The following is a 13769-nucleotide window of genomic DNA, read 5'->3' on the forward strand; positions in this document are numbered from 1 at the left end:
TGCGTGTGTGTGTGTGTGTGTGCATGCGCATTCAGAGGAGAGTTAGGAAACAAGGTCAGCTTGGCTGCCCATGGTGGCCAGTGCAGGGCCTCCACCCTGGCCATTTTTAGGTTGTGACCCAGAGCTGAACACCCCAAGGGAGGCTTTAGAGATAAGGGAGACCTCCCCAGTCACGCCCAGCATGCTGTCACCATTGCCTTTAAAGCGTGTCCCCTGGGAGCCTGAGCCAGCTCATCAGTTACACCTGAATATAAAAGGGAAAGGTGTCCTCCCCCTGCCCCCCGCATGTGGTTATTAAAGCGCGCCATCTTTAAGCCTCATTAAGGAGTGTTAAATGCTAATGAATTTAGAGAGAGGGGTGTCTTGGGGCCTCTGTTTCCTTGGAAACATTTGAAAGCAGGTGCTTTATAATGAGCTGTACCTATTTAAAAGTGAGCCGTGAGGGCCACTTTGATAAGCTGGATCTCAGCTGCAGATGGGCAAGTGTGAACAAAGCCAGTGGAGGCCAGTGGAGACGCTTTGTGCTCTGTGAAATATCATTTCTCTGGTGGTTTCTATAGAAACCACTGGCACCTAGGTAGGAGAATTGCCGGGCTCCCCGGCTTCACTTACACATCACAACCTTGTCCCCAGCCCTGGCCACCTCAGCCCCCGTCCCCGAAGACTGCTGGATTCCCGTTGGCAGAGCGGGGTTGGGTTCTGGACAGATGGGACAGATGCATGCTACCGCAGGTGTAATTCGCTTTAATTATGTCTGTTCTGTACGCACTGCTTGATTTCAGTTGGTCCCACCTCTGCTTATGATTTCAGGCCCAGCTGATAAGAAGAACTAACATTTGTGGAGCTAATTCCTCCCCTCAGAGCACTTTAAAGAAACTTTTTATTATTGAAAAATGTAAATATATACCAAAGTAGAAAGACTAATTAATGAACCTTTATGCAACCAGCATCCTGTTTTAACAATTATAAAATTATGGCCATGCTTATTTTATCCATAATCCTACCCATTTCCCAATAGTCTCCACCCTCCTCACCCTCACCACTGATTATTTTGAAGCAAATCCCAGACATCCTGTCATTTTATTTGTAAATACTTTTGTTTCTTTAAAAGGTGTGGGCTTAAAAAACTGTTATCCCATCTAGTAATTTGGCAATAATTCCTTAATATCATCCACTCTCTAATCCATGTTCAGATTTCCCTGGTTGTCTCATAATTTGCTTTAAACAGTGCCTTGTTCAAATCAGGACCCTAACATTTGATTTCTAAGTCTCTTAAGTCTATAGATTTCTTTCCTACTTTCTTTTTCTTATAACTTATTTATTGGGTAATAAATCAGTTATTTTTCCTGTATCTTTCTTACTGTATCCCTCTGATGTAATTTAACACATTCCTCTGTTCCTTCTGTATGTCTTATGAACTGGTGGTTTCATCTTAAAGCAGGTCACTGGGGGAGCTTGTGAGTCTGCTGCTGCTTCCAAGGCTCATCCCTATTGTATGTATCAGCATTCCTTGTTGCTGAGTCATAGTCCATTGTATGGACATACCGCAGTTTGTTTATCCAGTCACCTGTGGATGGACGTTTTGAGTTGTCTCCAGTTTTTGGCTGTTATGAGTAAAGCTGCTGAGAACGTTCATGAACAGGTCTGTATGTGAATATACATTTTCCTTTCTTTGGGTAAATAACTGAGAGTGGAATTGCTAAGTGGTGTAGTATATATATATTTAAATTTTTAATAAGTCACCAAACTGTTTCCAAAGTGGTTGTACCATTTTGCATTTCCATCAGCAGTGTGGGAAAGTGTCAGTTGCCTCACATTCTCACCAACACTTGGTGTTGTCAGTCTTTTTCATTTTAGTTATTTTAGTGGGTGTGTAGTAGTATCTGATTGTGGCTTTAATTTCTTCTCCCTGATGACTAATGATGGTGAACATCTTTTTGTGGGCCTATTGACCATTTGAATGTCTTGTTTTGTGAAGGATCTGTTCAAAGTATTTGCCTATATAAATTTATTATTATTGAGTTCTAAGAGTCTTTCTATATTCTGGAATTATTTTCTCCTATTACATAGGTTTTTGTGTTCTAAGAAATCTTTACCTATCCTAATGTTGCAAAGATTTTCTCCTATGTCTTCTTCTAGAAGTTTCATAGTTTTTGCCATACATTTATTCAGGGCTATGGTATATTTTCAGTTAATTTTTGTTTATGGTGTGAGGTAAGGTCAACAGTTATTTATTTCTTTTGCTATGTGGGATACCCAGTTGTTTTGGCAGCATTTGTTGAAACGACATTATTTTCCTCATTAGATTGTTTTTGGAGCCTTGGTGGAAAATCAATTTGCCACATGAGGTTCTCTTTCTGGCTTGTCAGTTCTGTTCTATTGATTGATGTGTCTATCATTTTACCAATATCATACTCTTTTGGTTACTGTAGCTTTATAATAATTTTTGAGATTGAGAAGTTTAAGCCTCAAACTTTGCTTTTCTTTTTCAAGATTTTTCTGGCTATTCTAGGTTCTTTACATTCGTATTTCAATTTTACAATCAACTTATCTTTTTCTACAAAGATATCTATTGGGTCCAATCTGTAGATCAGTTTGGGGATAATTGACATCTTAATAATGTTGCATCTTCTTATCCATGAACATAGCACATCTCTTCATTTATTTAGCTCTTCTTTAGTTTCTGTCAGCTGTGTTTTGTAGTTTTCAGTGTTTGATGTTACACATGTTGTATTAATTTATTCCTCAGTTTCTCATGTTTTTGGATACTAATGTGAGTGGAATTTTATATTTTATTTCATTTTCCAGTTGTTTGGTATTAGTATATAGAAATACTATTAACTTTCTTTTTAAAAAAATAATTTCAACTTTTATTTTAGATCCAGGGGATACACGTGCAGGTTTGTTACCTGGGTATAATGCGTGATGTTGAGGTTTCGGGTATGATTGATCCCTTCACCCAGTTACTGAGCATAGTACTCAACAGTTAGTTTTTCAACCCTTGCCCGCTCCCTCCCTCCACCCTCTAGACCACAGTGTCTATTGTGCCATCTTTATTTCCACAAGTACCCAAAGTTTAGCTTCCACTTATAAGTGAAAACATGGAGTATTTTTGTTTTCTGTTCCTGCATTAATTTGCTTAGGAAAATGGTCTCCAACTTCATCCGTGTTGCTGCAAAGGACATGATTTCATCCTTTTTTATGGCTGCATAGTATTCCATGGTGTATATTTGCCACATTTTCTGTATTCAATCTACTGTTGATGGGCACCTAGATTGATTCCATGTCTTTGCTATTGTGAATAGTGCTGTGATGAACACGTGAGTGCATGTGTCTCTTTGGTAGAATAACATTTTCTTTTGGATATATACCCAGTAATGGGATTGCTGGGATAAATGGTAGTACTGTTTTATGTTCTTTGAGAAACCTCCAAACTGCTTTCCACAATGGCTGAAATAACTTACATTCCCACCAACAGAGTATAAGTGTTCTTTTTTCTCTGCAGCCTTGCTAGCACCTGTTATTTTTTTGACTTTTTAGTAATAGCCATGCTGTCTGGTGTGAGAAGTTATCTCATTGTGATTTTGATTTGCATTTCTCTGCTGACTAGTGATGTTGAACATTTTTTCATATTTGCTGGCTGCCTGTATGTCTTCTTTTGAGAAGTGTCTATTCATGTCTTTGGCCCATTTTTTAATAGGGTTATTTGTTTTTTTGCTTGTTCAATTGTTTAAGTTTCTTATAGATTCTGGATATTACAGCTTTGTCAGATGCGTAGTTTGCAAATATTTCTCCTATTCTGTAGGTTGTCTGTTTACTCTCTGGATAGTTTATTTTGCTGTGCAGAAGCTCTTTGGTTTAATTAGGTCCTGCTTGTTAATTTTTGTTTTTATTGCAGTTGCTTTTGAGGACTTAGCAATAAATTCTTTCCTAAGGCTGATGTCCAAAATGATGTTTCCTAGGTTTTATTTTTATAGGATTCTTAAAGTTTGAGGTCTTACATTTAAATGTTGAGTTAATTTTTGTATATGGTGAAAGGCAGGGGCCAGTTTCATTTTTTTGTATATGGCTAGCCATCTATCCCAGCACCATTTATTGCAAAGGGAATCTTTTCCCCATTGCTTATTTTGGTTGACTTTGTTGAAGATCAGATGGCTGCAGGTGTGCAGCTTTATTCTGGGTTCTCTATTCTGTTTGATTGGGCTATGTGTCTGTGTTTGTACAGTACTATGTTGTTTTGGTTACTGTAGCCTTATAGTATAGTTTGAGGTCAAGTAATAGGATGTCTCCAGCTTTGTTCTTTTTGCTTAAGATTGCTTTGGCTATTTGGGCTCTTTTTGGGTTTCATATGAATTTTAGAGCAGTTTTTTCTAGTTCTGTGAAAAATGATATTGGTAGTTTGATAGGAATAGCATTGGATCTATAGAGTGCTTTGGGCAGTATGGTCATTTTAATGATATTGATTCTTCGAATCCATGAGCACGGAATGGTTTTCTATTTGTTTGTGTCGTTTATGATTTCTTTCAGCAGTATTTTGTAGTTCTCCTTGTAGAGATCTTTCACCTTCTTGGTTAGATGTATTCCTAGGTATTTGTGTTTTTTTTTTTTTTTATGGCTGTTGCAAATGGTATTGCAAATGGGATTGTATTCTTGATTTGTTCTCAGCTTGAATGTTATTGGTGTATAGAAATGCTACAGATTTTTACACATTGAATTTTTATCTTGAAACTTTACTGAAGTCATTTATTAGTTCCAGGAGCCCTTTGGCATAGTCTTTAGGGTTTTCTAAATATTGAATAATATCATCTGTGAAGAGAGATAGTTTGACTTATTTTTTCCTATCTCAATGCCCTTTATTTCTCTTGCCTGACTCATTCTACAAAGCCAACATTTCATACCAAAACTTGGCAAGAAAAAAAGAAAACTACAAGCCAATATCCCTGATGAACATAGATGCAGAAATCCTCAACAAAATACTAGTGAACCAAATCCAGCAGCACATCAAAAAGTTAATTCACCATGATCAAGTAGGCTTCATTCCTCGGATGCAAAGTTGGTTCATTATATGTGAATCAACAAATGTGATTCACCACATAAACAGAATTGAAAACAAAAATAATATGATTATCTCAATAAACACAGAAAAAGCTTTCAATAAAATCCAACATCCTTTCGTGATAAAAACCCTCAAGAAACTAGGCCTTGAAGGAACATACCTTAAAATAAAAAGAGCTGTCTATGACAAACCCACAGCCAACTTCATACTGAATGGGCAAAAACTGGAAGCATTCCCCTTGAGAACTGGAATAAGACAAGGGTGCCTACTCTCACCATTCCTAATTCAATGTAGTACTGGAAGTCCTAGCCAGAACAATCAGGCAAGATACAGGACTCTTTTATATGGACTGTGTATCATGTGACCTTACTAAAATTCACTTCTTAGTTCTTGTAGCTTTTTCCTAGATTACTTAGAAATTTTAATTTACATGATCATGTAGTCTGTATTATTTTACAGCTTTCTTTCTAATGCATGTGCAATTATTTATTTTTCTTGCTGTATTACAATGACTAGAACTTTCGGTACAATACTGAATAGAAATTGTGAAAATGGACATTTTTGTCTTGTTTCTCATTTTGTAGGGAAAACAATCAGTCTTTTACCATTAAGTATGATGTTAGATGTTGGTTTTTCATAGATACCTTAAGTCAGTTTAAGAAAGCTACCTTCTATTCTTAGTTGTATGAATTTTTTAAAAATCATATATTGGTGTTGAATTTTGTCAAAAATGATTTTACTACATCTATATGTTTTCCTATGTTCTGCTAATATGTTGAATTACATTGATTTTTTTTAAAGTTAAACCATATCTTTCCTATTTGGTTTTATGATATATTGTCCTTATATAGAGTTTAATTCAAGTTGCTAATAATTTGTTAAGGATTTTTAAAATCTATGTTAATGAGGATTATTGATCGATACATTTTTTCCTATATTCTTTGTCTCATTTTGATGTGAGATTAATATTGACCTCAGAAAAGTGAACTGAGAAATGTTCTCTACTTATGTTTTTGAATGTTTGTATAAGATTGGTATTATTTCTTCCTTAAATGTTTGATAGAATTCAGCAGTGAAGACATCTGGACACAAGACTTTCTTTGTAGGTAGATATTGAATCACAAAAAAAATTAACTATGTGTAACGTGGGCCATTCAGGTGTCCTATTTCTCCTTTAGTTGTTTTTGTTATCTTTTATCTTCTAAGGAATTTTTCCATTTTATCTAAATTGTCAAATTTATTGCTCTAAAATTGTTTTTAACTTTATTTTTTAATGGCTGGGGTGTCTTCATTTCTTCTTGTTGATCTGAGTGCCAATCTGGTATCACTACCCCCCAGGCTGCAGAACTTCCTTTAGCATTTCTTATAATACAGGTTTGTGGTGGGGAATTCTCTGTTTTTGTTTATCAAAAATGTCTTTATTTTTCCTTCATTTTTGTCGTGTCCTGCCCTTTTTATACTTTTATGGAAATATAACTGACATACAATAAGCTGCACATATTCAAAATGTACAGTTTAAGTTTTCATATATGTATACATCCATGAAATAGTTACCACAATCAAGATAAATAATGCATCCATTACCTTCAAAAGTTTTTGTGCCCCTGTGTTTACTTCTAGAAGTTGTATAGTTTTGGGCTTCATATTAAAGTCTGTGATCTATTTAGTATTAATTTTTTGTGTATGGTACAGGTATGGATGTAGTTTCATGTTTTTGCCTGTGGATAATCAAATTTCTGCAGCATTTGTTGAAAACAATATCTGTGCCTTTACCTCTCTGTGGAAATCAATTGGCTAAATAGATTTAGGTCTATTGTTGTACTCTCTCTTCTGTTCCATTGATTTCTTTTTTTTTTTAATTAAAAAAATTTTTTGTAGGCTGGTTATGGTGGCTCACACCTGTAACCCCAGCACTTTGGGAGGCTGAGGTGGGTGGATCACTTGAGGTCAGGAGGTCGAGACCAGCCTGGCCAACATGGCAAAACCTGTCTCTACTAGAAGTACACAAAATAGCTGGGCGTGGTGGCGTGTGTCTGTAGTCCTAGCTACTCAGGAGGCTGAGGCAAGAGAATTGCTTGAACCCGGGAGGCGGAGGTTGCAGTGAGCTGAGATTGCACCACTGCACTCCAGCCTGGGTGACAGAACGAGACTCCATGTCAAAAAAAAAAAAAATTAATTTTTAGAGACAAGGGTTTCACTGTGTCATCCAGGCAGTGGCACGATCATGGCTCCTGCAGCCTGGAACTTCTGGGCTCAAGCGATCCTTCTGCCTCAATCTCCTGAGTAGCTGGCACTATAGATGTGCACCACCACACTCGGCTAATTTAAAAAAAATTTCTTTTGGCCGGGCACAGTGGTTCACGCCTGTAATCCCAGCACTTTGGGAGGTCAAGGTGGGCGGATCACCTGAGGTCAGGAGTTCAAGACCAGCCTGGCCAACATGGTGAAACCCCGTCTCTACTAAAAATACAAAAATTAGCTGGGCATGATGGTGGGTGCCTGTAATCCCAGCTACTCGGGAGGCTGAGGCAGGAGAATCACTTGAACCCGGGAGCCGGAGGTTGCAGTGAGCCGAGATCGCGTCATTGCACTCCAGCCTGGGTGACAGAGCGAGACACCATCTCAAAATAATAATAATAATAATAATAATAATGTAAATTTTTTTTTTTTTTGTAGAGACAGGGTCTCGCCATGTTGCCCAGGCTGATCTCAAACTCCTGGCTTCAAGTGATCCTCTTTCTTTGGCCTCCCAAAGAGTTGGGATTACTGGTGTGAGCCACTGCACTGGCCCCATTGATTTATTTGTCTATCTTTATACCATTGTTTTCATCATTGTAATATTATAATGAATCTTGAAATCAGCTCGTATAAGTCTTCCACCTTTGTTCTGACTACTGTAGGTTCTTTGCATTTACATTTCAGTTTTACAATTGCTTTGCCAATTTATGCAAAAAAAAACTGGCTTGAACTTTAAATGGTATTGCATCTCATCTGTAGAGCAATTTGGGAAAGAATTGTACTGCCAACAATTTTGTTTCTTTCAACCCATAAGCATAGTATACTTCTCTATTTACTGAAGTCTTTAATTTTTCTCACCAATGTTTTGTAGTTTTCATAGTGTAGGTCTTTCACATTTTTTTGTCAGAATTTATCCCCAAGTATTTATATTTTGATGCTATTGTAAGTGATATTTTAAAATTTCAGCTTCTGGTTGCTCATGGTTAGTATATAGAAAAATTGTGGCTATGTGAATTTTCACCTTGAATTCTGTAACTCTTCTAAACTCATTTATTAGTTCTGGTTGTTTCTTTGTAGATTCTATTGGATTTTCTATATAGATAATCATGTTGTCTGTTAATAAAGTCAGGTTTAGTTATTCTTTTCCAATCTGGACACTATCTGTCTATCTCTATCCTCTCTCTCTCTCATCTATTTTCTCTCTTCCTCCCTCCCTCCCTTCCTCCTTTTCTCCTTCCCTTCCTTCCTTCCTTTCTTGTTTCCTTATTGCACTGGCTCAAACCTCTAGAACAGTGTTGTCTAGAAGTGGTGAGAGTGTGCATCCTTGCCTTATTTCTGATCATAGAGGGAAAGTATTCTCTTTCAGTTACATATGATGTCAACTAGTTGTTTTGTACATGTCCCTATCAGTTTGAATGTACTCCCTTTTATTCATAGTTTGCTGAGAGTTTTTTAAAAATCATGAATGAATGTTAGATTTTGTTAAATGCCTTTTCCCATTTATTGAAATGATCATGTGTGGTTTTTTTATTCTGTTAATATGGTGGATTTTGTCAGTTGATTTTCAAATATTAGAACAGCCTTGCATTCCTGGGATAAACTTCACTTGATCATAATATATTATTCCCTTTGTATAATTTGGAATTATATCAGCTAAAGTTGTGTTAGGAATTTTTGCATCTATGTTTATGAGGGTTATTGATCTGAACTTTTTTTATTATAATATCTTTGTATGGGTTTGGTATCAGGGTAATTCTGGCTTCATAGAACAAATTGGGAAATGTTCATTTCTCATCAATTTTCTGGAAGACTTCGTGTAAAAATTGACATTATTCCTTAAATGTTTGCTAGAATTGACTAGTGAAGCTGTCTTGGCCTGAAATTTTCTTTGTGGGAAGATTTGAAATTTTAAATAAAATCTACTTAGTAAATATAGGGCTATTCTGATTTTCTATTAATCTTTGAGTGACTTTTGATAGCTTGTGCCTTTCAAGAAATTTGTCCATTTCATCAAAGTTGTCCAATTTTTTGGCATAAAGTTTTTTGTAATGTTATTTTTAAAAATCTGTATAATCTGTGGTGATACCACCTCATTTCTCTCAGTGCTGATATTGGTGATTTTTGTCTTCTCTGTTTTTTACTCTGATCAGTCTAGCTAGAGGCTTATAAATTTTATTGATCAAGTATCAGATTTTCATTTTATTGTCTTTTACTCTTTCTTTTCTTTTTACAGAACTCATTGATTTCTTTTCCTATCTTATTTCCTTTCTTTCACAAAAACCTTGAATTTAATTTTCTTTTTCTAGTTTCTTAAAGTGTAAGCTGAGGTCATAGTTTTGAGACTTTTATTCTTTTCCGATTATAGATGTTCAATACTATTGATTTTTCTCTAGGTATTTCAGCTGCACTACCCAAGCTGTTGATATATTGCATTTTCATTTTCATTCAGTTCAAAATACTTTCTGATTTCCTTTTGGTTTCTTCCTGATCCATGATTTATTTAGAAGTGTGCTCGTTAGGTTCCAAACACTTGGGAACTTTTCAGATGCCTCTTTGTTATTTTTTCTAATTCAATTCCATTGTGGTCACAGTACATACATTGTATATTTGAATTCTTTTAAATTTATTTAGATTTTTTTGATGTTTTAAAATATGGTCTATCTTGGTAAATGTTCTGTGTGCACTGAAAAGAACGTGTGTTCTGTGGTTGTTGGGTGCAGTGTTCTATAAATGTCAATTACGTCAAGTTGGTTGATAGTGTTATTTAAATTTTCTATATCCTTTCTGTTTTTTCTGTCTATTCTATAAGAGCTGTGCTATACTTTGAACGTATGTATCCCTCCAAAATTTATATGTTGGAACTTAAACCCCAAAGGGATGGTATTAGGGGGTGGGGGCACATAAGGGGTAGATTACGTCATGAGGGCTCCACCTTTGTTAGTGTAGTTAATGCCTTTATAAAAGGGCTGGAGGGAACAAGGTGGGCCCTTTTTTACTCTTCCATCTCTTCTGCCATGTGAGGACAAGCAAGAAGGTGCAAGCCCTCACCAGACACTGAATCTGCTGGCACCTCAATCTTGGACTTCCCACCATCCAGAAATGGGAGAAGTAAATATCTATTATTTATAAATTGCCCAGTCTAAGGTATTTTGTCCTAGCAGCAGGAATGCACTAAGACAAGGCTTGCAATTTGTGTCTCTAAGAGTGGATTTGTCTACTTCCTTTTTCAGTTCTGTTAGTTTTCCTGCATTTATTTTGAAGTTGTTACCAGGTGCATACACAGTTAGGATTATCATGTTCTCCTAATGAATTGATTCTTTTATCATTGTGAAAGGACCCTCTTTTTTTTTTTTCTTTTTTTTGAAACAGAGTCTCACTGGGTTGCCCAGGCTGGTCTCAAATTCCTGAGCTCAAGTGATCCTCCTGCCTCGGCCTCCTAAAGTGCTAGGATTACAGGCATGAGCCACTGTGCCCAGCCATGAAAAGACCCTCTTTATCCCTTTATTCTTTACTCTGAAATCTACTTTGGTATTAATATAGACATTCCTGGCTTATTTTAATTATTGTTAGCATGGCATATCTTTTTTACTTTTTTTTTTTTTTTGAGACAGAGTCTCGCTCTGTGGCCCAGGCAGGAGTGCAGTGGCGCAATCTCGGCTCACTGCAAGCTCCGCCTCCCGGGTTCACGCCATTCTCCTGCCTCAGCCTCCCAAGTAGCTGGGACTACAGGCGCCCGCCACCACGCCCGGCTAATTTTTTTGTATTTTTAGTAGAGATGGGGTTTCACCGTGTTAGCCAGGATGGTCTCGATCTCCTGACCTCGTGATCCGCCCGCCTCGGCCTCCCAAAGTGCTGGGATTACAAGCGTGAGCCACCGCGCCCGGCCCTTTTTTACTTTTAACCTATTTGTATCTTTATATTTAAAGTTTGTTTATTTTAGGCAGCATATAGCTGGATCTTGCTTCTTTATTTTAAACCTGTCTAACAATCTCTTCTTTCGAACTAGGTTATTTGTCCTGTTTTAATTTATTATGATTATTGATATGGTTGGGTTTAAATCTGCTACCTTGCTATTTTTTTTTATTTGTTCCATCTCTTCTCCCCCATCCATTTTTTTCACTTGGATTAATTTAGTATTTTTATGATTTCATCTTAATCTTTTTTGTTGCTTTATCATCTGTGGCATTGTGCTGTGGGGTTTGTTTTTTTAAAATGATTGTCTGCATTTAAGTCACATTATATCTCTTTTTCTGTAAGAACCTTAGAGCAGTATTCAGATTTTCAGTTTCTCCCCTCAGGGTCTTTGTGCTATTACTGTCATACATTTTTCACTCTTACTTATGTTACAATCTCCAACATTGTTATTATTTTTGCTGGAAGTAGCCAATAATTTTAAAAATATTTTAATAATAAAAAGATATTATCTATTTTCCTACATATGTATTATTTCTATTGCTTTTCATTTTTGGGTGTAAATTTAGATCTGGTATCATTTTCTTTGTGCCTTAAGGACTTCCTTTAACATTTCCTGTATTTTTGGTCTGCTAGTGATAAATTATTTCAGCTTTTATTTGCCCAAAAAAATCTTTAGTTTGTCTTTTGTCTAAAAGATATTTATGCTAGGTAAAGAATTTGGGGTTGATGATTTTTTTCTCTTCCAGTACTTTAAACATGTCACTCAATTGTCACTAGTTTGCTCTGTTTCCAATGAGAAGTCTGCTGTATTTCTCATCTTTGCTTTTCTGTATATAATGCATCTTTTCTCTGTCTGCTTTTTAAGATTTTTCTCTTTACCATTGGCTTCAAGCAATTTAAACAATGGGCCTTGGTGTAATTTTTCTCTATGTTTCTTAGGCTTTGTTTAGTTTCTTTTATCTGTGAGTTTATAGTTTTAATCAATGTATTATAGTCTTTTATCTGTGGGTTTACAGTTTAATCAAATTTGGAAAATTTTTGCTCGTAGTTTTTTCAATTTTGTTTGTCCCCGAAACCCCACCCCTCATCTCCCTGTCTCACTTACATTCATATTCAGGGTTTTTGGATTTATTCCATAGCTCACTGATCCTCTGTTCTTCCATATCTTCAAATTTAGTAATCATATCTTATGCAATTTTTAATCTATTAATAGCGGGGCATTGTTTTATATCACTTCTACATGTTTGATTTGGGTCTTTAAAAGATATCTTTCATGTGTATTATCCTTAACATTCTCATACTGTCCGCTACCTTCTTGAGCATACAGTATATAGTCATAACTGATTTATTGTTCTTTTCTATTTATTATTAGTATTATTTTTGAGACTGAGTCTCACTCTGTCACCCAGGCTGGAGTGCAGTGGCCTAATCTTGGCTCACTGCAACCTCTGCCTCCTGGGTTCAAGCAATTTTGCCTCAGCATCCTTAGTAGCTGGAATTACAGGCGCATGCCACCACACCTTGCTTTTTTTTTTTTTTTTTTTTGTATTTTTAGTAGAAATGGGGCTTCATCATGTTTGCCAGGCTGTTCTTGAGCTTCTGACCTCAGGTGATCCACCTGCCTCAGCCTCCCAAAGTTCCGGTATTACAGATGTGAGCCACCACGCCCAACCTCTTTTCTATTTATTCTATCATTTGTGTCACTCATGGGTCTGTTTCTATTGACAGATTTTTTTTTTTTCATTATGGGAAGCATTTTCTTACCTCTTTCCAGGTCTGGTAACTTTTGATTGGATGCCAGACATTGTGAATTTTACTTTTTGGGTATTCAGTATTTTGTTGTGCTTTACATATTTTGAGAGATTTTTTGGATGCGGTTGTATTGCTTGATAACGGTTTGATTTTTCAGAGGCTTGCTGTTAGGCTTTGTTTGGTGGAACAAAAACAGCCTTTAGACTAGGGCCAATTTTGCCTCATTTCTGAGGTTATACTCTTGTGAGTACTCTATCCAATGCCATGTGTATTTCAAGGTTTTCCCCCTCTGACTGGTGGGAAAATGAATGATTCCTAGCTCTGTGTGAAACTTGGCAATTGTTTTGCTTATTCTCTTTTGGTGGTTCCTTTCCCGGTTTGTGTAGTTTCCTCACATGAATGCACTGATTAATATTTGTGTTACTTATTATAAAGAAAGGAGTGTTAATATCTCCAGGTAAAATCGTGGACTTGTATGGTTTCTCCTTTCAATTCCATCAGTTTTTGCTTCATGTATTTTGAAAGTCTGTTATTAGGTATATACATATTTAAGGTTGTTATGTCTGCTAGATGAATTGACACTTGTACGTTTTCATTGTATTCCTCTTATTCCTGGCGGTTTTCCTTGTTCTGAAGTCTACTTTGCCTGCTATTAATATGGTCACTTCAGCCCTCATTTGGTTATTTTTAATATGGTATATTTTTTTATCCTTTTACTTATAAGCTATGTATTTTATTATATTTAAGGTGGCTGTCTTGTAGACTAGATACAGTTGGATCTTTTTAAATGTTAATCTGAAAGCCAATT

General features: G+C 36.2%; 1 protein-coding gene across 7 annotated transcripts in view; it reads left to right on the forward strand.

The window, feature by feature from the left end:
- WDR25 (WD repeat domain 25) overlaps positions 1 to 13769 on the forward strand; it is a 153819-nt gene that overhangs the window by 126571 nt on the left and 13479 nt on the right. The gene's annotated exons all lie outside the window — the stretch shown is intronic.

The sequence above is a fragment of the Homo sapiens genome, chromosome 14, assembly GCF_000001405.40.
Source record: "Homo sapiens chromosome 14, GRCh38.p14 Primary Assembly".
In the NCBI taxonomy this organism is placed as follows: Eukaryota; Metazoa; Chordata; class Mammalia; order Primates; family Hominidae; genus Homo; species Homo sapiens.